A 25,908-nucleotide genomic window follows, 5' to 3' on the forward strand; every position below is an offset into this window, starting at 1 on the left:
CTTTGTTTGATGTATATATTGTGATGATTTTCTCCCACTCTGTGGTTTGTCTGTTAACTCTGCTGATTATTTCTTGTGCTGTGCAGAAGCTTTCTAGTTTAATTAAGTCACATCTATTTATCTTTGTTTTTGTTGCATCTGTTTTTGGGTTCTTGGTCATGAAGCCTTTGCCTAAGCCAATGTCTAGAATGCTTTTTCTGATGTTATCTTCTAGAATCTTTATGGTTTCAGGTCTTAGGTTTAAGTCTTTGATTCACCTTGAATTGATTTTTGTATAAGGTGAGAGATGAGGATCCAGTTTCATTCTCCTACATGTGGCTTACCAGTTATCCCAGCACCATTTATTGAATAGAGTGTCTTTTCACCAGTTTATATTTTGTTTGCTTTGTCAAAGATCACTTGACTGTAAGTATTTGGGTTTATTGCTGGGTTCTGTATTTTGTTCCGTTGGTCTATGTGCCTATTTTTATATTAGTACCATGCTGTTTTGGTGGCTATGGCCTTATAGAATAGTTTGAAGTTGGGTTATGTGATTCCTTTTTGCTTGGTCTTGCTTTGGCTATGTGAGCTCTTTTTTGGTTACATATGAATTTTAGGATTTTTTTTTCTAATTCTGTGAAGAATGATGTGGTATTTTGATGGGAATTCCATTGAATTTGTAGATCGCTTTTGGCGGTATGCTCATTTTCACAATATTGATTCTACCCATCCATGAGCATGAGATGTGTTTCCATTGTCTGTGATTTCATTCAGAAGTGTTTTGTAGTTTTCCTTGTAGAGGTCTTTCACGTCCTTGTTTAGGTATATTTCTAAGTTTTTAAAAAATTTTTAAATTAAAAAATTTTTTTTGCAGCTATTGTGAAAGAGGTTAAGTTCTTGATTTGATTCTCAGCTTGGTTGCTGTTGGTATATAGCAGAGCTACTGATTTGTGTACGTTAATTTTGTATCCTGAAATTTGCTGCACCCCTTTACCAATATTAGAAGCTTTTTGGACGGGTCTTTAGGGTTTTCTAGGTATATGATCATATCCTCAACATATAGTGACAGTTTTTACCCTTTATTTCTTTTTTTTGTCTGATTGCTCTGGCTAGGACTTCCAGTGCTATGTTTAATGGAAGTGGTGAAAGTGGCTATCCTTGTCTTGTTCCAGTTCTCAGGGGGAATGCTTTCAAGTTTTCCCTGTTCAGTATAATGTTGGCTGTGGGTTTGTCATATGTGGCTTTTATTACCTTAAGGTATGTCCCTTCTAAGCCGATTTTGCTGAGGGTTTTAATTATAAAGGGATCCTGGATTTTGTCAAATGTTTTGTTTGCATCTGCTGAGATGATCATGTGATTTTTGTTTTTAATTTTGCTTATGTAGTGTATCACATTTTTTGACTTACATATGTTAAACCATCCCTGCATCCCTGGTATGAAACCCACTTGATCACGTCAAATTATCTTTTTGATATGCTGTTAGATTCAGTTAACTAGTATTTTCCTGAGGATTTTTGCCTCTATGTTCATCAGGGATATTGGTCTATAGTTTTCAGTTTTTGTTATGTCCTTCCCTGGTTTTGGTATTAGAGTATTACTGGCTTCATAGAATGATTTAGGGAAAATTCCCTCTTTCTTTATCTTTTGGAATAGTGTCAATAGGTTTGTTACCAATTTTTCTTTGAATGTCTGATAGATGTCAGCAGTGAATCTGTCTGGTCCTGGACTTTCTTTTGCTGGCAATTTTAAAAAACATCATTTCAATCTAGCTGTTTGTTATTGGTCTGTTCAGAGATTTTATATCTTCCAGGTTTAATGTAGGAGGGTTGTATATTTCCATGAATTTATCCATCTCCTCTAGGTTTTCTAGTTATGCCCATAAAGGTGTTCATAGTAGTCTCGAATAATCTTTCATATTTCTGTGGTATCGGTTGTAACATCTCCCATTTTGTTTCTAATTGAGCTTCTCTGGATCTTTTCCTTTTCTTGGTTAATCTCACTAATGGCCTATCAATTTTATTTATCTTTTCAAACAACCAGATTTTTGTTTCATTTATCTTTTGTATTTTTGTTGTTTGTTTGTTTTCATTTCATTTAGTTTCATTCTGATCTTTATTTCTTTTCTTCTGCTGGGTTTGGATTTGGATTGTTCTTGTTTCTCCAGTTCTGTGAGGTGTGACCTTAGATTGTCTATTTGTGCTCTTTCAGACTTTTTGATGTATGCATTTAATGCTATAAACTTTTCTCTTAGCACTGCTTTTGCTGTATCCCAGAGGTTTTGATAGGTTGTGTCACTATTATTCAGTTCAAAGAATTTGTAAATTTTCATTTTGATTTTATTGCTGACTCAGCAATCATTCAGGAGCAGGTTCTTTAATTTCCATGTATTTGCATGGTTTTGAGAGTTTGTTTTGGAGTTGATTTCCAATTTTATTCCGTTGTGGTCTAAGAAAGTACTGGATATAATTTTGATTTTTAAAAAATTTACTGAGACTTATTTCGTGGTCTGTAATATGGTCTATCTTGGAAAATGTTTCATGAGCTGATGAATAGAATGTATATTCTGCAGTTGTTGGGTAGAAAGTTCTGTAAATATCTGTTCAATCCATTTGTTGTAGGGTATAGTTTAAGTCTATTGTTTCTTTGCTGACTTTCTGTCTTGATGATCTGTTAGTGCTGTCAGTGGAGTACTAAAGTCCCTCACTATTATTGTGTTGCTGTTATCTCATTTTTTAGGTTTAGTAGTAATTGTTTTATACATTTAAGAGCTCCAGCGTTAGGTGCATATACATTTAGAATTGTTATATTTTCCTTGAATTAGTCCTTTTATCATTATATAATGTCCATCTTTATCTTTTTTAACTGCTGTTGGTTTTTAAAGTTTGTTTTGTCTGATATAACAATAGTTAGCTACTCCTGCTCACTTTTGGTGTCCATTTGCATGGAACATCTTTTCTGCCCCTTTACCTTAAGTGTACGTGAGTCCTTGTGTGTTAGGTCTCCTGAAGACAGCAGAAAGTTGGTTAGTGAATTCTTTTTTTTTTTTTTTTTTGTATTTTTTAATTATACTTTAAGTTCTAGGGTATATGTGCACAATTTGCAGGTTTGCTACATATGTATACATGTGCTGTGTTGGTTTGCTGCACCCATTAACTCGTCATTTACTTTAGGTATTTCTCCTAATGCTATCCCTTCCCCATCCCCCCGCCCCATGACAGGCCCCGGGATGTGATTTTCCCCACCCTGTGTCCAAGTATTCTCATTGTTTAGTTCCCACCTATGAGTGAGAACATGCAGTGTTTGGTTTTCTGTCCTTGCAATAGTTTGCTCAGAATGATGGTTTCCAGCTTCATCCATGTCATTACAAAGGACATGAACTCATCCTTTTTTATGGCTGCATAGTATTCCACGGTGTATATGTGCCCCATTTTCTTAATCCAGTCTGTCATTGATGGACATTTGGGTTGGTTCCAAGTCTTTGCTATTGTGAATAGTGCCACAATAAACATATGTGTGCATGTGTCTTTATAGTAGCATGATTTATAATCCTTTGGGTATATACTCAGTAATGGGATTGCTGGGTCAAATGGTATTTGTAGTTCTAGATCCTTGAGGAATTGCCACACTGTCTTCCACAATGGTTGAACTAGTTCACAGTCCCACCAACAGTGTAAAAGCATTCCTATTTCTCCACATCCTTTCCAGCACCTGTTGTTTCCTGACTTTTTAATGATTGCCACTCTAACTGGTGTGAGATGGTATCTCATTGTGGTTTTGATTTGCATTTATCTGATGACCAGTCATGATGAGCATTTTTTCATGTGAAAGTTGGTTAGTGGACTCTTATCCTCTTTGCCATTCTGTACCTTTTAAATGGAGCATTTAGGCCATTTACATTTAATATTAGTATTGAGATGTGAGGTGCTATTGTATTCATTGTGCTATTTGTTGCCTGAATACCTTGTGTTTTTTTTTTTTTTTTTTTTTTTTTTTTTTTTTTTTGAGATGGAATCTCACACTGTTGCCAAGGTTGGAGTGCAGTGGTGTGATCTTGGCTCACTGCAACCTCTGCCTCCCAGGTTCAAGCAATTCTCATGCCCCAGCCTCCCGAGTAGCTGAGATTACAGGTGCCTGCCACCATGTCCGGCTAGTTTTTTTGTATTTTTAGTAGAGATGGGGTTTCACCATCTTGGCCAGGTTGGTCTTGAACTCCTGACCTCGTGATCCACCTGCCTCAGCCTCCCAAAGTGCTGGGATTACAGGCATGAGCCACCATGCCTGGCATGTGTTTTTTTTTTTTTTTTTTTTATTGTGTTACTGTTGAATTAGGTCTTGTGAGATTTATGCTTTAAGGAGGTTCTATTTTGGTGTATTTTGGGAACTTGTTTCAAGATTTAGAGATCCTTTTTAGTAGTTCTTATAGTGCTGTCTTGGTAGTGGCAAATTCTCTCAGCATTTGTTTGTCTGAAAAAGACTGTCTCTTTCCTTCATTTATGAAGCTTAGTTTCACTGGATACAAAATTATTGGCTGATAATTTTTTGTTTAAGGAGGCTAAAAATAGGACCCTAATCCCTTCTAGCTTGTAGGGTTTCTCCTGAGAAATATGCAGTTAATCTGATAAGGTTTTCCTTTAATAGGTTACCTGATGCTTTTGCCTCATGGCTCTTTGTCTTGACTTTAGATAACCTGATGACTATGTGCCTAGACAATGATCTTTTTGTGATTAATTTCCCAGATGTTCTTTGATCTTCTTGTGTTTGGATGTCTAGATCTCTAGCAAGGCTGGGGAAATTTTCCTTGATTATTCCCTCAAATATGTTTTCCAAACTTGTAGATTTCTCTTCTTTCTCAGCAACACCAGCTATTGTTAGGTTTGGATGTTTAACATAATCCCAAACTTCCTTGAGGCTTTGTTCAGTTTTTAAAATTCTTTTTTCTTTGTCTTTGATGGAGTGAGTTAATTTGAAAGCCTGTCTTTGAGCTCTGAAGTTCTTTCTTCTGCTTGTTCGATTCTATTGCTGAGGCTTTCTAGTGCATTTTACATTTTTCTAAGTGTGTCCTTGATTTTGAGAAGTTGTAATTGTTTTTTATGTATGCTACCTATTTCACTAAAGAATTTTCCTTTCATATCCGTGCCATGTTTTTGATTTCTTTACATTGGACTTCATCTTTCTCTGGTGCCTCCTTGATTAGCCTAGTAATTGACCTTCTGAATTCTTTTTCTTGCAATTCAGAGATATCATCTTGGTATGGATCCATTGCTGGTGAGCTAGGATGATCTTTTGGAGGTGTTAAAGAACCTTGTTTTGTCATATTACCAGAATTGTTTTTCTGGTTCCTTCTCATTTGGGTAGACAATGTCAGAGTGAAGATCTGGGATTCAAGTGCTGCTGTTTAGCTGTTTAGATTCTTTTTTTTTTTTTTTTTTTTTTTTTTGAGACCGAGTCTCGCTCTGTCACCCAGGCTGGAGTGCAGTCAGTGGCATGATCTTGGCTCACTGCAGCCTCCGCCTCCCGGGTTCCAGCTATTCTTCTGCCTCAGCTTCCTGGGTAGTTGAGATTACAGGCCCATGCCACCACACCCAGCTAATTTTTGTATTTTTAGTAGAGACGGGGTTTCACCATGTTGGCCAGGCTGGTCTCATGCTCCTGACCTCAGGTAATCCACCCACCTTGGCCTCCCAAAGTGCTGGGGTTACACACATGAGCCACTGTGCCTGGCTGCTGTTTGTCCCACGCGGTGCTCCCTTGATGTGGTGTTCTCCCGCTTCCCCTAGGAATGGGGCTTCCTGAAAGCTGAACTGTAGTAATTGTTTTTGCTCTTCTGGATATAGCCACCCAGTCAAGCTAGGGCTCGACTACCAGGCTCTGGGATGGTGCTGGGTTGTGTCTGCAAAGAGTCCTGTGATATGATCTATCTTCAGGTCTTGCAGCCATGGGTACTAGCACCTGCTCTGGTGGAGATAGCAGTGGAGTCAAGTGGACTCTGTGAGGGTCCTTGGTTGTGTTTTGTTTAGTGTGCTAAACACAACCAAACCTGATTGGCCTCCAGCCAGGAGGTGGTGCTTTCAAGAGTGCATCAATTGTGGTCCTATAGGGAGGATGCAAATTTGCCTTAGGGACATGTGGTTAAGTATTCAGGTTTCTTAAGTGGTGGGCAGGGTTATAGAGCTCCCAAGAGATTACGACCTTTGTCTTCAGCTATGAGGGTGGGTAGAGAAAGACCACCAGGTGGGGGCAGAGATAGGCATGTCTGAGCTCAGCCTCTCCTTGGGCGGGGCTTACTGTGGCTGCTGTGGGGAATGGGAGTGTGGTTCCCAGTCCAATGAAGCTATATTCCCAGAGGGATTATGGCTGTCTCTACGGAGTCATACAGATTGCCAGGGAAGTGGGGGAAAGCAGGAAGTTACAGGCCTCACCCCACCTCCATGCAGCCTGCAGTCCTAAAGGCTGGTCTCATTCCCACCATGCCTCCCCACCGCAGCACCAAGTCTATTTCCAGGCAGCCTGTGACCAGGGCTGAAAACTTACCTCAGACCATGAGCCTCCCTGCTGAGAAAGCAAGCAGACTCATAGATTTTTGGCATCTCGGGGAACCTGCAGCAGTGATCCAGTTCCTTCGAAGAGTCTTTGGATTCTCTTGGCTTTCCTGGTATGTTCCTGTGGTAGTTCTTGGAGCAATAGTTTATGATATGAGTCTTCACTTGCTGTTCTGTCCATTTGAGTGGGAGCTTCAAGTTAGTCTTGCCTCCTATGTGCCATCTTCATCATCTGCTTGTTTGTTCATGCAAATAGTGTTAAGCAGTTATCAGGTTAAAATAATGGGTTATAAGATAGTATTTCCAAGCCCCATGGTAATCTGAAACCAAAAAACATACAACAGATACACAAAAAATAAAAAGCAAGAAACTAAATTATATAATCAGAGGAAATCAACTGCACTAAAGGAAGACAAGAAAGAAAGAAAGACCACAAAACAACCAGAAAACAAATAACAAAATGGCAGGAATAAGTCCTTACTTATCAATAATTACATTGAATCTAAATGGACTAAGCTCACCAATCAAAAGATGTAGAGTGGCTGAATGGATTAAAAAAACAAGATCCAATGATCATTTTCCTACAATAAACACACTTCACCTATAAAGACTCACATAGACTGAAAATAATGGGATGGGAAAAGATTTTCTACGCCAAGGGAAACCAAACAAGAGCAGAAGTCACTATACTTATATCAGACAAAATGGATTTCAAGACAAAAACTCTAAGAAGGGACAAAAAAGGTGTATTAGTCTGTTTTTACTCTGCTAATAAAGACATACCCAAGACTGGGCAATTTACAAAAGGTTTAATGTACTTACATTTCCACGTGGCTGGGGAAGCTTCACAATCATGGCAGAAGGCAAGGAGGATCAAGTCACGTCTTACATGGATGGCAGCAGGCAAAGAGAGAAAGCTTGTGTAGGGGAACTCCACTTTTTAAAGCCATCATATCTTGTGAGACTTATTCACTATCATGAGAACAGCACAGGAAAGACTTGTCCCCATGTTTCAATTACCTCCCACCGGGTCCCTCCCATAGCACATGGGAATTCAAGATGAGATTTTGGTGGGGACTCAGCCAAACTATATCATTCTACTCCGGGCCCTTCCCAAATCTCACATTCTCACATTTCAAAACCAATCATGCCTTCCCAACAGTCCCCAAAAGTCTTAACTCATTTCAACATTAACTCAAAAGTCCACAGTCCAAAGTCTCATCTGAGACAAGGCAAGTCCCTTCCATCTATGAGCCTGTAAAATCGAAAGCAGGTTAGTTACTTCCTAGATATAGTGGGAGTACAGGCATTGGATAAATACAGCCATTCCAAATGAGAGAAATTGGCTGAAACAAAGGGGCTATAGGCCCCATGCAAGTCCGAAATCCAGTGGAGCAGTCAAATCTTAAAGCTCCAAAATGATCTCCTTGGCTCCATGTCTCACATCCAGGTCAATCTGATGCAAGAGATGGGCTCCCACAGCCTTGGACAGCTCCACTTCTGTGGCTTTGCAGGGTATAGCCCCCCTCCTGGCTGTTATCATAAGCTGATGTTGAGTGTCTGTGGCTTTTCTAGGCACTGGATATAAGCTGTCAGTGGATCTACTATTCTGGGGTCTGAAGGATGGTGGCCCTCTTCTCACAGCTCCACTAGGTGGTGCCCCAGTAAGGACTCTGTATGGGGGCTCCTACACCACATTTCCCTCTGCACTGCCCTAGCAGAGGTTCTCCATAAGGGCCCCGCCCCTGCAGCAAACTTTTGCCTGGGCATCCAGGCATTTCTATACATCTTCTAAAATCTAGGCGGAGGTTCCCAAACCTCAATTCTTGACTTCTGTATGCTCACAGACTCTACCACATGGAAGCTGCCAAGGCTTGGGGCTTCCACTGTCGGAAGCAACAGTCCGAGCTGTACCTTGGGCCCTTTTAGTCATGGCTAGAGTGGCTGGGATTCAAGGCACCAAGTTTTTAGGCTGCACACAGAAGAGGAACCCTGGGCCTGGCCCATGAAACCATTTTTCCTCCTAAACCTTTGGGCCTGTGATAAGAGGGGCTGCCACAAAGATCTCTGACATGCCCTGGTGACATTTTCCCCATTGTCTTGGTGATTAAAATTCAGCTCCTTGTTACTTACGCAAATTTCTGCAGCTGGGTTGAATTTCTCCTCAGAAAATGGGGTTTTCTTTTCTATTGCATTGTCAGGCTGATAATTTTCCAAACTTTTGTGTTCTGCTTCCCTTTTAAAATGGAATGCCTTTAACAGCACCCAAGTCACCTGTTGAATGCTTTGCTGCTTAGAAATTTCTTCCACCAGATACCCTAAATCATCTCTCTCGAGGTCAAAGTTCCACAAATCTTTAGGGCAGGGGCAAAATGCCTCCAATCTCTTTGCTAACACATAACAAGAGTCACCTTTGCTTCAGTTCCCAACAAGTTCCTCATCTCCATCTGATACCACCTCAGCCTGGACCTTATTGTTCATATCACTATCAGCAAGTTCCAAACTATCCCACATTTTCCTGTCTTCTTCCGAGCCCTCCAAACTGTCCCAATCTCTGCCTGTTACCCAGTTCCAAAGTCACTTCCACATTTTTGGGTACATTTTCAGCAACACCCCACTCTACTGGTACCAATTTACTGTATTAGCCTGTTTTGACACTACTAATAAAGACATACCTGGCCCGGCACAGTGGGTCACACCTGTATCCCAGCACTTTGGGAGGCTGAGACGGGTGGATCATGAGGTCAGGAGATCAAGACCATCCTGGCTAACATGGTAAAACCCCATCTCGACTAAAAAAAAAAAATACAAAAAGTTAGCTGGGTGTGGTGGTGGGTGCCTGTAGCCCCAGCTACTTGGGAGGCTGAGGCAGACGAATGGCATGAACCTGGGAGGCGGAGCTTGCAGCGAGCTGAGATCACGCCACTGCACTCTAGCTTGGGCGACAGAGTGAGACTCTGTCTCAAAAAAAAAAAAAAAAAAAAAAGACATACCCAAGACTGGGCAATTTACAAAAGAAAGAGGTTTAATGGATTTACAGTTCCATGTGGCTGGGGAAGCCTCACAATCATGGTAGAAGGCAAGGAGGATCAAATCATGTCTTACATGGATGGCAGCAGGCAAACAGAGAGGGCTTGCACAGGGGAACTCCTCTTTTTAAAACCATCCAATCTGGTGGATTCACTATCATGAGAACAGCATGGGAAAGACTTGCCCCCTATGATTCAATTACTTCCCACTGGGTCCTTCCCACAACACGTGGGAATTCAAAATGAGATTTGGGTGGGGACACAGCCAAACCATATCAGAAGGCACCTATATAATGATAAGGGAGTCAATTCAGCCAGAGGATATAGAAATTTTAAATATATATGCACCCAACACTGGATCACCCAGATGCATAAAGCAAATACTATTAGAGCTAAAGAGAGAGATAGGCCCCAGAACAACAATAGCTGGAGACTTCAACACCCCACTTTCTGTACCAGACAGATCTTCCAAACAGAAAATCAACAAGGAAACATTGGACTTAATCTGCACTATAGACCCAATGAATCTAACAGATATTTATAGAATATTTCATCTGATGGCTGCAGAATACAAATTCTTTTCCTCAGCACATGGATCATTCCTCAGCAGATGGATCATTTTCATGGATCATTTGTTTTGTGACCATATGTTAGGTCACAGAACAAATCCTAAAACATTAAAAAATTGGAATAATATCAAGCATCTTCTCTGACCACAATGGAATAAAACTAGAAATAAATAATAAGAGGAATTTTGGAAACTATACAAATACATATAGATTAAACAATGTACTTCTGAATGACCAGTGAGTCGATGAAGAATTTAAGAAGGAAATTGAAAAATTTCTTGAAACAAATGATAATGGAAACACGACATACCAAAACCTATGGGATACCGCAAAAGCAGTAGTAAGAGGGAATTTTATAGCTGTAAGTGCCTACATCAAAAAAGGACAAAAACAAATCTGTTGAAATTTATTTGCCATTGTAATAGTATTAAGAGGTGGGACCCTTGAGAGATGATTAGGCCATGAGGGCTGTACCCTCATTCGTGGGATTAATGTCATTATAGAAGTTTGAATTTGGCACCCTTTCGCTTCTTTACCCTTCTGCCTTCCACCATGAGATGATACAGCAGGACCCTTTCAAGATGCCAGTGCCTTGATATTGGATTTCCCAGCCTCCAGAACTCTAAGCCAATAAATTTCTATTCTTTATAAATTACCCAGTCTATGGTACCTTGTTATAGCAGCACAAATGGATTAAGACAATGTATAAATATAGAAGAAGGAACCATCTTGGGGTGGGAGTAAAAAAAAGGAGGAAAGGGGAGAAGATGGGCCACGTCTTTTACATGATGAATTTAAGTTGCCTGTAGGATGGACAAGTGTGGATCCAGGATGTAGTTGGATATCAAAGCTCAGAAGAATGATCTGAACTAGAAATACAGATTTTAGAATTATTAACAAATAAAAACATAATCAAAGACAGAGATTGGAGCAGCAATACTTCCAGAGAGAGGGTAAATATCAGAAAAGTAGGAAGCTTAGCGTGTGAAATAAATCATTTTAAGATGAGATGAAGAGAGGGGTGCCATTTTCAAACTGAAGAAGTAGCCAGGAAGGAAAGGAGAAAATGAGAAGAGAGGCCAAAGGGACAAGAGCATCAAAGGATGGTGCTCAGGGGTCAAGAAGGATATGGAATGAAAATGTCTCTCAGACTTGACGTCAAGCAAGTGTCAAGACAATTGACTTGACGACTGTTGCTTATATTAGGTAGAATAGCTTCATTACTGTTCCAGAGAGAGATTCTTACTTGATCCTTAGTTTGCATTCAAACAAATAAATTTTCATTTCAGTAAATATTTCTTGAATGCCTAGTCTGTCCTAGGCACTGGGGCTCCAAAGTATAGAACTCTGGCCTTAAGGAATTTACTGCTTCTCAATAAGCTTTTCCAGGGCAGGAATGTACTCTTCTGTCTTCTGAACTGTCCTCAGGACTGGCCAAGAACAGGTGCACAGATGCAGGCACTTGGGATGCAAATACATGTTTATTGTATGAACTGATTCTCTGATCTTCTAGAGTATTCTGTCTGTTGGGTGAGACACAAATAATTAAACTGTACTACTAAATTTTAAGTACCCTAATAGAAGTTTTGAGAACTTCTCTTGTCATGTGAGAATATGGAGAATGTCATATGGAGAACATTCATTGAGTGAGCTTCCAGTATATACCAACAAAAACTAACAGTGTGACTTATATATCGTGCTTCTCTTTTGGGGAATCAGCTCCAGCTTGTGAGTACAGGCTATTGGGATATAGGGCATAACCATGTGGGAGTAGACTGGCTTCTCATGGCTGCTCTCTAGTTAGGGTGTGGGAGTACATTCCTTTAACATCGTTTGAGTTTTAGAAGAAAAAACACTTTACAGAGTGAGATGGGTTGAGGGTGGTTATCAAGGCTAGGTGGCACTGTGCAGTATGAAGTCCAAATGCAGCTGGTAAGTTTCCATTGCCTCACTGCTACATTTCGAAGTTAAACTGCCTCTTTGGGAAACAGACGTTACTTTGCTTAGAGTGAAGCTGGAGGAGATAGACTTCGTCAGGACCTAACTAGTAGGCAAAGTGTGCAGACTCCAAGTTCTAGAAAGCAGGTGTTGGTGTGAAGTGGCAGAGGAGGTACAGAATCTCACTGAATAGGTTTGGCTGTTTGCACCAGGTTTAGATTTACAAGTGTTTTTCTCTTAGAGAGCATCTGGAGGAGAATCCTACTGTGTGAAAGTCACTCTAAATATTTCAGACTGAACAGCCTGTGACTGGCCTGGGAAGCCATACTTGCTCTTTGGCAAGTTCGGAGGTTGTTCCTGGGCCCTTTTTGCTGGGATAGGATGGCTGGCTATGAAGCCCATAGTCGTTTCTGCCATGTACAAAAACACTACATCTTTGGGTTGAAATAGCAGCATATGAGTATCTTTATACACAATCACTCTGTTTCTTTGAAGGGGAAATCATTCAATGTATGCCAAAACACAAATTTGGAAGGCGATTTGATCTAACACATAGAATGTTTACGAAATTTATTTCCATATATCTGGAGATCAAAGATGCATATAATGCTCTACTCTCAAGAAAAACCATAGCTTGGTCATGGAGATGATATGTAAAATAAGTAAGTCTAGTCCAATGAGTACATAAGGTATTTCTTGTTGTTGTTTGTTTTTTTTTGGAGACAGAGTCTCACTCTGTCACCGAGGCTGGAGTGCAGTGGCGTGATCTCGGCTCACTGCAACCTCTGCCTCCTGGGTTCAAGCAATTCTTGTGCCTTGGCCTCCCAAGTAGCTGGGATTACAAGTGTGTGCCACTACTCCTGGCTAATTTTTTGTATTTTTAGTAGAGACAGGGTTTCACCATGTTGCCCAGGCTGGTCTTGAACTCCTGAGTTCAGGCAATCCACCCACCTCAGCCTCCCAAAGTGCTAGGATTACAGTTGTTAGCCACTGCACCCAGCCCCAATGAGTACATAAGGTATTTTGGAAAACTAAGAGAGCAGTTGCTGCTTCTGTGGACTGTATTTCGGGAGAAGGCAGTCAGAGGGAGCACAGAGAGGAGGTGGCATCTCAGTGTTGGCCTTGAAGGATGAGCAGAGACTCACGGCAGGTGGCGGCACTGGAAAGAAGCACACTAAGAGGCACTGAAAACTGATGATGCGGCCGGGCATGGTGGCTCACGCCTGTAATCCCAGCACTTTGGGAGGCCGAGGCGGGTGGATCACGAGGTCAGGGGATCAAGACCATCCTGGCTGACACAGTGAAACCCCGTCTCTACTAAAAATACGAAAAATTAGCCGGGCATGGTGGCGGGTGCCTGTAGTCCCAGCTACTCGGGAGGCTGAGGCAGGAGAATGGCGTGAACCTGGGAGGCGGAGCTTGCAGTGAGCCGAGATCACGCCACTGCACTCCAGCCTGGGTGACAGAGCGAGATTCCATCTTAATTAAAAACTGATGATGCCCAAATAGGACTGAAGTAGGCATAAAAAGTCCTCCTCTCTGTAGGCAGGTCATCCGTTGAGCGTTCAGCTCTTAGCAGAGAGGAGCCCCTGGAAAGGGTGGCTCCTCTCCACAGGCAAGTCATTTGAAAGTCTCTGCAAGTCTCTGAAGCTTTCAGCAGAGAGGGTAGCTCCTCTCTGCAGCTGGCCGTCTCATTGTCTCCAGCTGTCAGCAGGGAGGATACTCCATTCCGCACCTGGTCGTCCTGTCCTGTAGTCTCTCTGCCTTCTTCATCCTCTGGCTAAGCCCAGGGCTTTTATGGACCTCAGAGGGAAGGAAGTGCATGCGGATTGGTCCATGGGTGGCCATAGGTGGGTTGGAAGAGGCACCAGGAGTCCCCACTCCGGTTAGCAGGACTGGTAGTCCAGCCCACAGCCTTCAGGCCCTCCCTGGCCTGAAAGTGGGGCCTTACTGGGGACCCCGCCCCCTTCCACCCAGGACTCTGTCTGCCTCTGACTGCCATTCATGGCCCTGGGGCTTGGCCCCAACCCCGCTCTGAGAATGGAGCAGGTGCTAGGAGCAGAGAGAGGCCAGGCAGTAGGAGCAGACACCCCTGAGCCTGCAGGGACTGGGAGGCGGGGGTTCCTCCCTGGGGCACTGGAGGGTGCAGGCTGCAGAGACGCCCCAGTCCTGTGCCTGGGAGGGTGGGCGCAGCTGCACCCGGGAGCTTCTGCCTGGCCAGCTCGGAAGGGGCAGGGCTCCTGCTTGTTCCCGGCTCTGCCAGCTTCCTGGAGCTGGAGGCCCAGATCTGCAGGCTGCAGGCGCTGCAGCTGCAGCTGCACCTGAGAGGGCAGATCCTGCCTGTTCCCAGCGCCCCCAAGAGCACAGGGAGGCTGGGATCCACAGCTGCAGGTTAGGCGGTTGCTACCTTCTCCCTAGAGCAGGAGGCCTGGGTCTGCAGCTGAAGTTTGAACAGCTGCAGTGGCATGAGCTCCGGTCCCAACTCAGAAGGGGCGGGGCTCCCACTGGCTCCAGGGAGTGGCGTGATGACAGCAACCACTACCATGAATACCATTGGCAAAGTAATATGGGGCAAAACCTCCCCTCTTAGTCCATGGACACCACATATTGAACCCAAGGTTGGTTCCAGCTCAACTGTGGTTACTTTAAGGAGGATTCTGGTCAATTAAATCCAACTCAAGAAATGTTTATTGAATCTACACTATCTGTGAGGCCCAAAGAAAATCGCAGCCTTCATTTCAGGACCAGCATGGAAATTGCTATGACTTTGTGTTTGTGTTGGGGCAGACTTGAAAATTCTGCATGTGCTGTGTGCTGATATCCAACCCAGAATGATGCTTATCATAGTATGCTTTGTTTGTAGAAGCATATAATTGACATATCGTTGAATTTCTGTGAAGCTAATGTGGGTTAAATAATGACAGCCTTTTCCAGGTGCCTGGCTCATCTCTGTGCTTTTGCATTCCTGAGGGGATTCTGTCCACACTGGGTGCTGTGCTGGCTGTTGTGAGTGGCACAAAGCATTCAGACAGAGTTGCTGGTGGGTCTCCTTCCACCTAAGAGTCACCGTCAAGCAGTTGCCCCCTGGCTAAACGTGCAGAGATCAATAGCATTTTGTCTGTTAAGGATCAGAATTTGCTTCTGTTTGTTTCTGTCATGTTTATTTACGACTCTAGGAGCTCACCTATTTGTTTTTCTCTCAGCCAAATCTTGGTGCTATTCTGCTTTTCTTGAGGACATAGCTTAGAATGCTAACTGGGTAGTATTAAAGCCAAGGACCATTAGGAACACACCTGGAGTAAAAACAAAAAGTTAGGTTAACGGGGCTTGCAGTAGCAAGGAAGGACACACCAGAGATTAACTGTGGGGGGCCCCCTTACAGGATTCAGGCTTATGCTGGATGATTTTCACGAGGGGTTAGGAGAGCAGAGGCTGGTTTCGGGTTGTGTTGTGTCAAGAGGGAGGGTCAACTTGGTGACCAGGTATCTTAATACATTTTATCAAAGAGGCTGATGGATTAAAGCTGGGCTAGGAGAAGTCACTTGTGTTAGTCAGAAGAGGGGATGTTTTGTGATTGTTGAGGTTGTGGAGTGGCCATGTCTCTGTCTTTTTCCAAACGTAGCAGCAGTGGCCTTGTGTGAGCATTGTTCAGATTCACTGTTTATGTTCAGTTGGGAACATCATTGTTTGGCTGCTGGTGGGGCCATTTTTAATGTTCTTAGTAGCTTCCTCATTTGTAAAATGAGAGGACTGCATAAGAACAGTGGTTTCAAACTGCTCCCCAAAGGTCTAGGAGCTTTGGGGGCCGCTGTAGATACTACGGGGAGGCAGAGTGTGCAGGGCTCTTGGCCCTCTTGACCTCCTCTCAACAGAGCAGGTATGCTTTTCCAGTTTTACATTTTGGGGTTCTGTGTTAAACCACATTTTATTTTTTTAACCTTTATTTTAGAATTGGGGGTACATGTGCAAGTTTGTTACATGGGTATATTGTGTGATGCTGAGGTTTGGGATACAAATGAAACCACCACCCAGATAGTGAGCATAGCACTCGATAGGTAGGTTGTTTCCAACCCGTCCTCCTCTCCTTTCCTCCCCTCTCTTGTATTCCTCAATGTCTATTGTTCCCACTTTTACATCCATGTGTACCCACTTATAAATGAGAACACGTGGCATTTGGTTTTCTGTTTCCATGTTAGTTTGGTTAAGATAATGGTTTCCAGCTGCATCCATGTTGGGGCAAAGGACATGACTTCATTCTTTTTTATTGCTGTGTAATATTCCATGGTGTATATGTACCACATTTTCTTTATTCAATCCACTAACATTGATGGGCATTTAGGTTGATTTCATGTCTTTGCCATTGGGAATAGTGCTGCAATGAACATACGGGCACTTTTTTTTTTTTTTGGTAGAACTATTTATTTTCCTTGGGGCGTATACCCACGTAGAAGGACATTGTTGCATTGCTATAAAGAAATACTGGCATGATGCCAGCATCTGCTCAGCTTCCGGGGAGGCCTCAGAGAGTTTTTACTCATAGCAGAAGGTGAAGTGGGAGCAGACACATCACATGGCAAGAGCAGGAGTGAGGGAGAGAGGAGGAAGTGCCATACTCTTTTAAACATCCAGATCTCACGTGAACTCAGTGAATCACCACGGGGATGGTGCTAAGGCATCCATGAGGGATCCGCCCCCATGACCCAATCACCTCCCAGCAGGCCCCACCTCCAATACTGGGGATCACATTTCAACATGAGATTTGGGTGGGACAAATATCCAAACCATATCAGCCCAATAGGGGTTGCTGGGTTGAATCAGTTCTTTGAGAAATTTCCAAATTGCTCTCCACAGAGGCTGAACTAATCTTCATTCATATCAATACTGTATGTGTTCTCTTTTCTCCAAAGCCTTGTCAATATGTTATTTTTTGACTTTTTAACAAAAGCCGTTCTGACTGGTGTAAGATGGTATCTCATTGTAAACCACATTTTCGGCACACATTCTTTCGCTATAGAGGAGCTTAAAAATTGCTGAACTGGATAAGCTCTAGGTCTCTCTATTGCTTCCTGGCACAGGGAGGTAAAATAATTTGTCCCAAATGTATAGAGCTAATTAGATTCAGTGGCTTAAGTTTGAACCTCAGCTTTGCCATCAATTTCAGAATTTTGCTCATTTTGTTTACTTTTTCCCACTGTGTCAGGATTCCAGCATGCTGGGTCTAAAGGGCTGATGGGACACACTGTAAATTCATTTGAATGAGGCTCCCAGAAGCCTCATGAAAAATATTTTATCTTAATAAGTGAGACGCATATAAGTTTGGCTTGACTGAGCAGGAGGACAAAAATGAGAAAAAACTAGTAATGGGACCCATTTTTACCATCCAGAAGGTGAGGTCTGGGGCATCATGATCTTCATATTATTCCATGATTGATCAACTATGCAGTAGGAACAAGATGGCACAGATTAAACTAGGTTCTTATTTACTATACAATTCTTTTGGGGATAACTGTGCTTCCATTAATTTTATGAGACTTATCCTTGTATGTTTGTATCAGTAGCTATTTGCTTATTAGATGTTTATTTTCCATTTTGTCTCCACTGTGGCAATGTGGGTGCTGGAATTCTCCCTTTCTCCTAGAGGTACATTCTCAGCACATGTTGACTCTGTGCATCTGTTTAGCTGTTTGGGGTCCATAAGTTTTGTGGTTATAATTTATGTGTCTATAATAATTACTAATCAGAATAGCAGTTGATTCAATGCTCAAATCTTAATTTAGACTTTGAGTTGACAGTGATGTGCTAGAATTTACAGTAATGATGTTGAGTGATTCTGCTTTGTCTGAGGATTTAATAGTTGCTATTACCTCCACATGGCACCCTTTGTTCCTTCAGCTATGAGATGCCAGACCTTTGAATGGCTATATGAACTCAAGGGAACAAGGGATAAACTATTAAGACTAGAGAGAACTCTGCCCCTAGAATTAATTCTTTGGGTTTTTGATTGAATCAATTTACCAGAAGGAAGCATCACATGTAAACAGATCAGGAGAAGGTTGCTCAGTAAACCGAGCAAGGAAAATTGGACATTATTAAGCTGTGTTTCTCAATGAGGCATTTGGAGAATCGCTTTGTGAACAATAGATGTTAGTCTACATCAAACTACAGCAAACCATGTTATATGTTCTGAATCTATCTTCCTGCCAGTTTTGTATGTCCCCTGGGCTAAGAATGGTGTTTAGATTTTTAAATCATTGAAAAAAAATCAAAAGAAGAATAATATTTCATGAGATGTGAAAATTATGCAAAATCCAAATTTCAATGTCCATAAAAAGGTTTTATTAGAACATAGCCACACTCTTTCATTTCCGTATTGTCTGTGGCTGTTTTGTGTTATAATGGTAGAACTGAGTAGTTAAAAAAGAAACCTAATAAACCGCAAAGGTTAAAATGTTTACCCTCTGGCCCTTTATAGAACTGGTTAGCCAACACTTGGTCTGTATGATAGTGTTGCACAAGGAAAAAGTTAAGAATCTCTGCTCTCGGCTGGGCACAGGCCTGTAATCCCAGCACTTTGGGAAGCCGAGGTGGGTGGATCACCTGAGGTCAGGAGACCAGCCTGGCCAACATGGGAAAACCCCATCTCTACTAAAAATACGAAAATGAGCCAGGCGTGATGGTGCATGCCTGTAATCCCAGCTACTTGGGAGGCTGAGGCAGGGGAATCATTTGAACCCGGGAGGTAGAGGTTGATATTGCACCACTGCACTCCAGCCTGGGTGACAGATTGAGACTCCATCTCAAAAAAAAAAAGGAACCTCTGCTCTTAATAAATAATCTCATTGAATTATGATTGCTTGCTAGTGAATACGTATTCACTTATTCTAATAATTTTCTCAGGGCTAGTATTTTGGAGTCAGCATATTTTGTCTTATAGATAGGTCCAGGGTGGGCCTTAATCTTCTTTCCTTCCACTTATTTTTTGTTTAGAGGCACACTTTCCAATTATGGCATTGGTGGTTACCATTTGTGTGAAAAATGTTGTATTCCATATTGCAGTTATTCATTTTTCTTCTTGTGGATGTTTTGCACATACCCAGGTTTATGTGTGTTAACGTAGCTCTTAGGTACTAGGGAAGTGAGGGTGTTTAGGCTTAAAGGTATTGGTGTTCAAGGAAGGAATGCTCAAAAGAAAGACTGAACACAAGAATGCAGAGTTCTAAGGGGCCAGAGAAAGGAGACAGAAGTCCTAATAGAGTCACGGTGATAATTTGTTGGCAACTGCAGATCAGAAAAATGCTGCTATTGAGATTTCAGAGAACTGCTTAGGTTGCAGTTTACATTGCAATGGGGATGGAAGCTGAAGTAACTGGGCAAAAATTGCCTTATTTTTTTCCACTTTCCAGATCAGTGAAAGATAAAATGATTTAATCTTTGATTCAGGGTAGACACAGAGAAGAGAATCTGAGTTCTGGAAGAGTAAGGCTAACGTGCGTGCAGTCTGTTACAAGTTACCAACTAAATTTCCAGATGAGCCAACTCCTCCCAGGACAAAGAATTGTAGGTTGAGGGGCATATATTGCATTGGCGGGCTCATTGCATCTGTTTTCTCAATCATGCTTGTTACTTACTGTGGAATATGGATTGTTATGGTGATGTGAGGATGGAAGCCATCTGCCCTGCAGAATCTTGGGAAATTTTATGGACCCCATAATGTTGGCAACAAGGAAGGAGCAGAGGATGTGGCATCTGAAGACCAGCTCAAAAGAGTAAACTTTTACCAAAGCTTATGCACATTCCACTCCTCTCTTCATGGCATTCTTTCAGAGCATCCTCCTACTTTCATGCTTTTGTGTCCTCTCTAAAAATCCCATGGAGTAAGAGACTTCTGCCCAGTAAGACTGATGACCAGTGTACTGACACCAATTCCATGAGTACCACCATCTTAAGCCTACCCCAGTGTTTCAACTTTGAACCTCTGGTTGGCAGAGTGAATACAGTATCCCGTATGTCACCAACTTTGTAGCAAGTAGGCTCTATATTTTCAGTACAATGCTAAGGAACTTATTAGCATTTGCCTCTCCACTTAGGGGGAATACAGAGTTTCACACTCTCCAGTTCACCTTCACAGAAGAGTAGATTTAATAATAATAATAAAAAAAAACTTGGTGAGACTCTCTGCCACACTGTCTTCTGGTGATATATGCTAATCATAGGCATGAAGACATTGTGACCTGTTTTGTAAGTTTAGTTAGTTTCCTGATCTCCCTGCCATTAACAAGGCTTTCTTGTTACTAGAAATTTTGAAGAAAAAGAAACATTAAAAATTAAATCATAGAAATAGAAGATAATATAGGTCAATACAGCATGTCCTTGAATAGTCATTTTGTTACAATGCTGATGAGATAAAAAATCGATTCCTGGCTGGAGCCATTATCTGTGTGGAGTTTGCACATTCTCCCCATGTCTGCTAGATTTTTCTCCAGATAGTTCGGTTTCCTCCCACATCCCAAAGATATGAATATTAGGTTAATTGGCACGTCTATGTTGTCCCAGTCTGAGCGATCGTGGCTGTGTGTGAGTGCACCCTATGATGGAATGGCGTCCTGTCCAGGGTAGGTTCCTGCCTTGAATCCTGGACTCTTGGGATAGGCTCCAGCCACTCAAAACCCTGATAAGTGGGTAAATAATTACCTTACTTTTTAAAAATTTAATTAATTAATTAATTAATTAATTAATTAATTTATTTTGAGATGGAGTCTCGTTCTGTTGCCAGGCTGGAGTGCAGTGGCGCGATCTCGGCTCATTGCAACCTCCCTCTTCCGGGTTCAAGTGATTCTCCTGCCTCAGCCTCCCGAGTAGCTGGGACTACAGGCGCGTGCCACCACACCCGGCTAATTTTTGTACTTTTTAGTAGAGACAGGGTTTCACCATGTTGGCCAGAATGGTCTCGATCTCTTGACCTTGTGATCTGCCCGCCTCGGCCTCCCAAAGTGCTGGTATTACAGGCGTGAGCCACCGTGCCCAGCCCTTACTTTTTTTTTTTTTATTAATCTTTCTTAAATATATGTATAGCTCACATTTCTTTCTTTCTTTTCTTTTCTTTTCCTTCCTTCTTTTTTTTTTTTTTTTTTTTTTCCCAGAGTCTCACTCTGTCACCCAGGCTGGAGTGCAGTGGCGTGATCTCGGCTCACTGCGAGCTCTGCCTCACCGGTTCACGCCATTCTCCTGCTTCAGCCTCCAGAGTAGCTGGGACTACAGGCGCCCGCCACCACGCCCGGCTGATTTTTTGTATTTTTAGTAGAGACAAGGTTTTATCGTGTTAGACAGGATAGTCTTGATCTTCTGACCTTGTGATCCACCCAGCTTGGCCTCCCAAAGTGCTGGGATTACAGGCGAGCTCACATTTATTTCAATGTTTAATCTTAGAAGTGTTTCGGGTCTTAGAAGTTTGGTGATGTTTTCGTGACCAGAAGTATACCATAGGAACTGAACTTTTGTTTATATCAATTAGCCTATGGTAAAATTGGGTTTGACATACATTGTGCCACTTAAAGTCACAGTTTCCAAGAACCTATCAAGGGATGTTAAGTGAGGACTTACTGTATTTGTCTTATCACAGAGTAGGGAAGGACTTTCTAAGCATGAATGCAAAGACGGAAACTACAAAAAAATCTGAACACTTGTTCTAAAACAGAGTTTCTCAATTATTCCTATTTTGGGCTAAATCATTCTTTGTTGTGGGGGCCTGAGCATTGTAGAATGCTTAGCATCATTCCTGGTGCCTGCTTCTTAGATGTTAATAGCAGCCCCCCACTCATGACAATCAAAAATGTTTCCAGATGTTGTCAAAGTTTCCCTAGGGGGCAATATCGCCACTGGCTAGGAACCACTGTTCTAGAATGATTGTTCTGTATGCAAGGGGGAAATAAAAAGCCATCTCAAATTCAAGTTGTGGGCTTGAATCATATACTTACATGGGGCCTCATCTTGGAAATATAAAATTCCAAGGAACCAAAGCAGATAAAGGGCCTACTTTGGTTTCTGTGTCTACCTGATAGGGTTTGTGGGCTTTCTTTCAGGGCAGCACTGCCTCTATCCTCACATTTATCCTTTATCTTCTCTGTGGTCGCTTGTTTCCTCTGTTTGTTTCTGATCATGCCTCCCTCTGCTTGCACATTCCTTTGGCTTGCCAACTCTTTTTCATGGAATCTATTACTTTCAGATCTGGCCCTACTTGCTAGCTGTGAGAGACAGAAATTTATCTCCATGTATAATCACATCTCTGCTATTATGTTGGGCTGTGCGATAGGCATAGGCTGCAGGTCACGCTATGGAGAAGCTGTCTGTGGGCCAAGTGCATGCCCCTCATCCACCAGTTGTGACCCGTAAGGAAGGGGTGTCATTGGTGTAAAGCACCAGTGCTTGGCAGCAGGAGCCATTGACTGCAGATTCACTCAGAAGAAAGTGGGGACAGGTGGGTGCTGACTGAGATCTCTAAACCAAAGAAAAAAATCTAAAAGTTCCATCTATCCAGAAGGAATTCCCATAAGCATAACTAATCTAAATGAAATAAACTGGGTAGAAGATTCAACATGCAGCATGGGATTAATATAAAAGTGATTTTACAAATCAGTATATAAAATGGTGAATATCTCAAGAAGACAATGTATCAAGGGCAGGAAGGAGCAAAACCACAAAACAAGAATTACAGTGGCCACAAATATTGGAATAAATACTCAGACGCATGAAGTATAAAAGAAGCGCAAGTTATTACAAAGCAAATATAAAATTTTGCCTTTCACATTGGTGAAACATTAAAAAATAGTAATTGTTCGTTCATTCTTAGTGAGAGACTAGCAAAATTCTCATTCTGGTACTGAAAGGAAAATTGCTGATATTATTAAAAATCAGGTCAGCAAGTTTTTGGGTGTAATCTGGCAATAGAGATGAAAGCACCAAAAATGTTCATACCTTTTGAGTCAATAATTCCCTCTAGAAATTTACTCTAAATAAATATTCAGAGCTGTGAGTAAAGAATTATATATGAAGATGAAATATTAATCAATGGATGTTTTATTCTAACAAAAGATTGGAATTAACTTAAATATCCAAAAGGGGATTGATTAAAGGTGTTTTAAAAATATATTTCATGGCATAGGAAAGGTTCAGAATATTATGTTTAGTGAAATTAACAGGTTACAAAGCTATTTCTAGTATAATTTAAATTTTGCATGTATTTACAGAGATACACACACAAAATTAAAATTAGGAAGAAATATATCAAGTATTTAATAGTGTTATCTAAAGTTGGTTGTATGACTGATTTTTATCTTCTTTTAACTTTTATGTTTTCTCTAAACTTTCTACAAGAGTCCATTACTTATAAATATATACTCTATTTAATTTTTATTAAAATTTTTTTTTTGGGGATGAAGTCTTGCTCTGTCTCCCAGGCTATATATAGTACAATGGCACCATCTCAGCTCACTGTAACCTCTGCCTCCCACGTTCAAGTGATTCTTCAGCTTCAGCCTCCCAAAGAGCTGGAATAACAGGTGCGTGCCACCATACCTAGCTAATTTTTGTATTTTTTAGTAGAAATGGGGTTTCACCATGTTGGCCAGGCTGGTGTCAAAACTCCTGACCTCAGGTGACCTGCCTTGGCCTCCTGGGGTGCTGAGATTACAGGCATGAGCCACTGCACCCGGCCTATAAATATGTATTTTTAAAAGTTTAGGCCAGGCGCGGTGGCTCATGCCTGTAATCCCAGCACTTTGGGAGGCCGAGGCAGGCGGATCACCTGACGTCTGGAGTTCGAGACCAGCCTGGCCAACATGGCGAAACCCCGTCTCTACTAAAAATACAAAAATTAGCCGGGCGTGGTGGCAAGCGCCTGTAATCCCAGCTACTCGGGAGGCTGAGGCGGGAGAATTGCTAGAACCCGGGAGGCAGAGGTTGCAATGAGCCGAGATTGCACCTTTGCACTCCAGCCTGGGGGACAAGAGTGAGACTTTGTCTGAAAAAAAAAAAAAAAGCTTAAAAGATGCACTCTTCACAAAGAATAAGTTTTAAAATGGCTTATACGCTATCTTCTGAGAAGCCCCCCGAAAGTGAGAATTTGTTATTGTCCAGGGCCCAGCCTTTCAGACTGAGAATCCCATTTTTTTTCCCAGCTCACTAAATGCAGAAAAATTTATCAGGGGGCAGACTCACATTTAACCAAGCTTATAGAGACTGATGTATAAAACCAGAACACCAGTGAATTAATTTGCAATAAGAAATAGAACTGTAGAAAGAGCCAAACACTTGTGTTGTCTGTAGCTTATTGTGTGGAAAACTACATTATAAATAATACTGTCTTGTGAGTAGGGAATCAGAATTAAGAGTGTTAATTATAAGACTTTAATGTTTCATTGCATCAAGTTTTAATTGCATGAGGCAGTTTGGTCCATAGTAGGAAATGACATGCCACCAGGCCTAGATAAGTAGAGTCTTACTATCTGAACTGAGACTCAAGAGGTATTGCCAAAGTTTGTCTTGAAATATATTTTTTAAACTTTCATTGACTTTGTGATGGTCACCTTTCTTTGTGTGCAGTGTCTCAGGTAAGGTTCATATTGGCATACACACACACCTGTACACATTCTAAAGTAAATCATATTATCAATTTTTTTAATAAAGGATACAAAAATTAGCTAGAGGGAGAGTCAGGCCACGCAGAGTCAGAGCATACACTCTGTTTCTCAACCCAGCTTCCCCAGACCTTGCAACCCCCAGTGGGAGGATGTGTGGCTAGCAGTGATGTTGTCCACCAAAAGTGGGTCTTCCCAGATCTGCGAAGCGTAATTTTCAGTTGCAACACCATCCTCTTTATACTTGAGGCTTATATATATCATACGTGTGTGTGTGTATAATGGGGAAAAAAACCACAAATGAAGCAAACTGTCTGTTTTCTTCTACTGTACTCGATACTCATCACAACACAGAACACTCTGGTCACCAAAATGTGTGTGTGTTTTTTTCCCCCAAATATCCTGACCAGTTCTCCAGCAGACACCAACTGGATGTCCTGTAATTCAATTCAATTCTGACACTATCTACCTGGAGTTAAAAGTCAGATCCCACAGGTTAAGGGCTCAGTCCCACAAGACTGCCCCCCATTTCAGACGCCAGTCATAAGCCCAGACCTTTGGTAATTCTGACCAATTGGCTATAAACTGGGGGAGGGATCTTGTAACCCTCTCTTTGGGATTGATCATTTGCCGCAATGGCTCACAGAACTCTGGGAAACATGTATATTTTCTGGCTTATTACTTAATCAAGGATATGATAAGGGATAGGTAAGAGGCACACAGGACGAGGTTTGGAAGGATCCTGAGCACAGCAAATTCCCTCCCTGTGGAGTTGGGATGCACCACCCACCCAGCACATGGATGCCTTCTTATTTACAAGCCCAGAGGCTCTCTGAACCCCATACTTCAGGATTTCTTTGTGATATGGACAGGAGGTGGGGAAATATTGGGTAGAAGAGGGTGGTTGCCTGGGAAAGGCCCCACCCTCAAGTCTGGAAACTGCAGCCCTAGGTGAAAACAGTTATCCCTGTTTCCTGCCCAAATGTTGCCTTTTTTGGCCCTCCCTGCCCCCCATCCTGTGCCCATATAAACCCCAGACCTCAGCTGGCAAAGAAGCAAGCAGCTGAACATTGAGAGGAGAAGAAGCAACTGAGCATCTGAGACTAGGGAGAGACACAACTTAACCTCAGATGGCATGACTTCAGAGAGGAGCCTGGCCGGAGATGGCTGGGCTTCAGGGAAGGACCATTTTCTTCCCACACAATCCCCTTCACAGCCCACC

At 42.0% G+C, this 25,908-nt stretch overlaps 1 long non-coding RNA gene across 1 annotated transcript in view, besides 1 other annotated feature; it reads left to right on the plus strand.

Annotated features, from left to right (window-relative positions):
- Positions 1–25,908, plus strand: part of LOC105370802 (uncharacterized) — a 225,875-nt gene that overhangs the window by 110,250 nt on the left and 89,717 nt on the right. The gene's annotated exons all lie outside the window — the stretch shown is intronic.
- Positions 5,863–6,406: an enhancer, noted in NCBI's record as "NANOG hESC enhancer chr15:46113505-46114048 (GRCh37/hg19 assembly coordinates)". NCBI's record gives its function as "activates a minimal SCP1, AML or CMV promoter by ChIP-STARR-seq in naive H9 embryonic stem cells {active_cell/tissue: H9 hESC(naive)}" and the evidence as "EXISTENCE:reporter gene assay evidence [ECO:0000049][PMID:30033119]".

The sequence above is a fragment of the Homo sapiens genome, chromosome 15 (genome assembly GCF_000001405.40).
Source record: "Homo sapiens chromosome 15, GRCh38.p14 Primary Assembly".
NCBI lineage: Eukaryota > Metazoa > Chordata > Mammalia > Primates > Hominidae > Homo > Homo sapiens.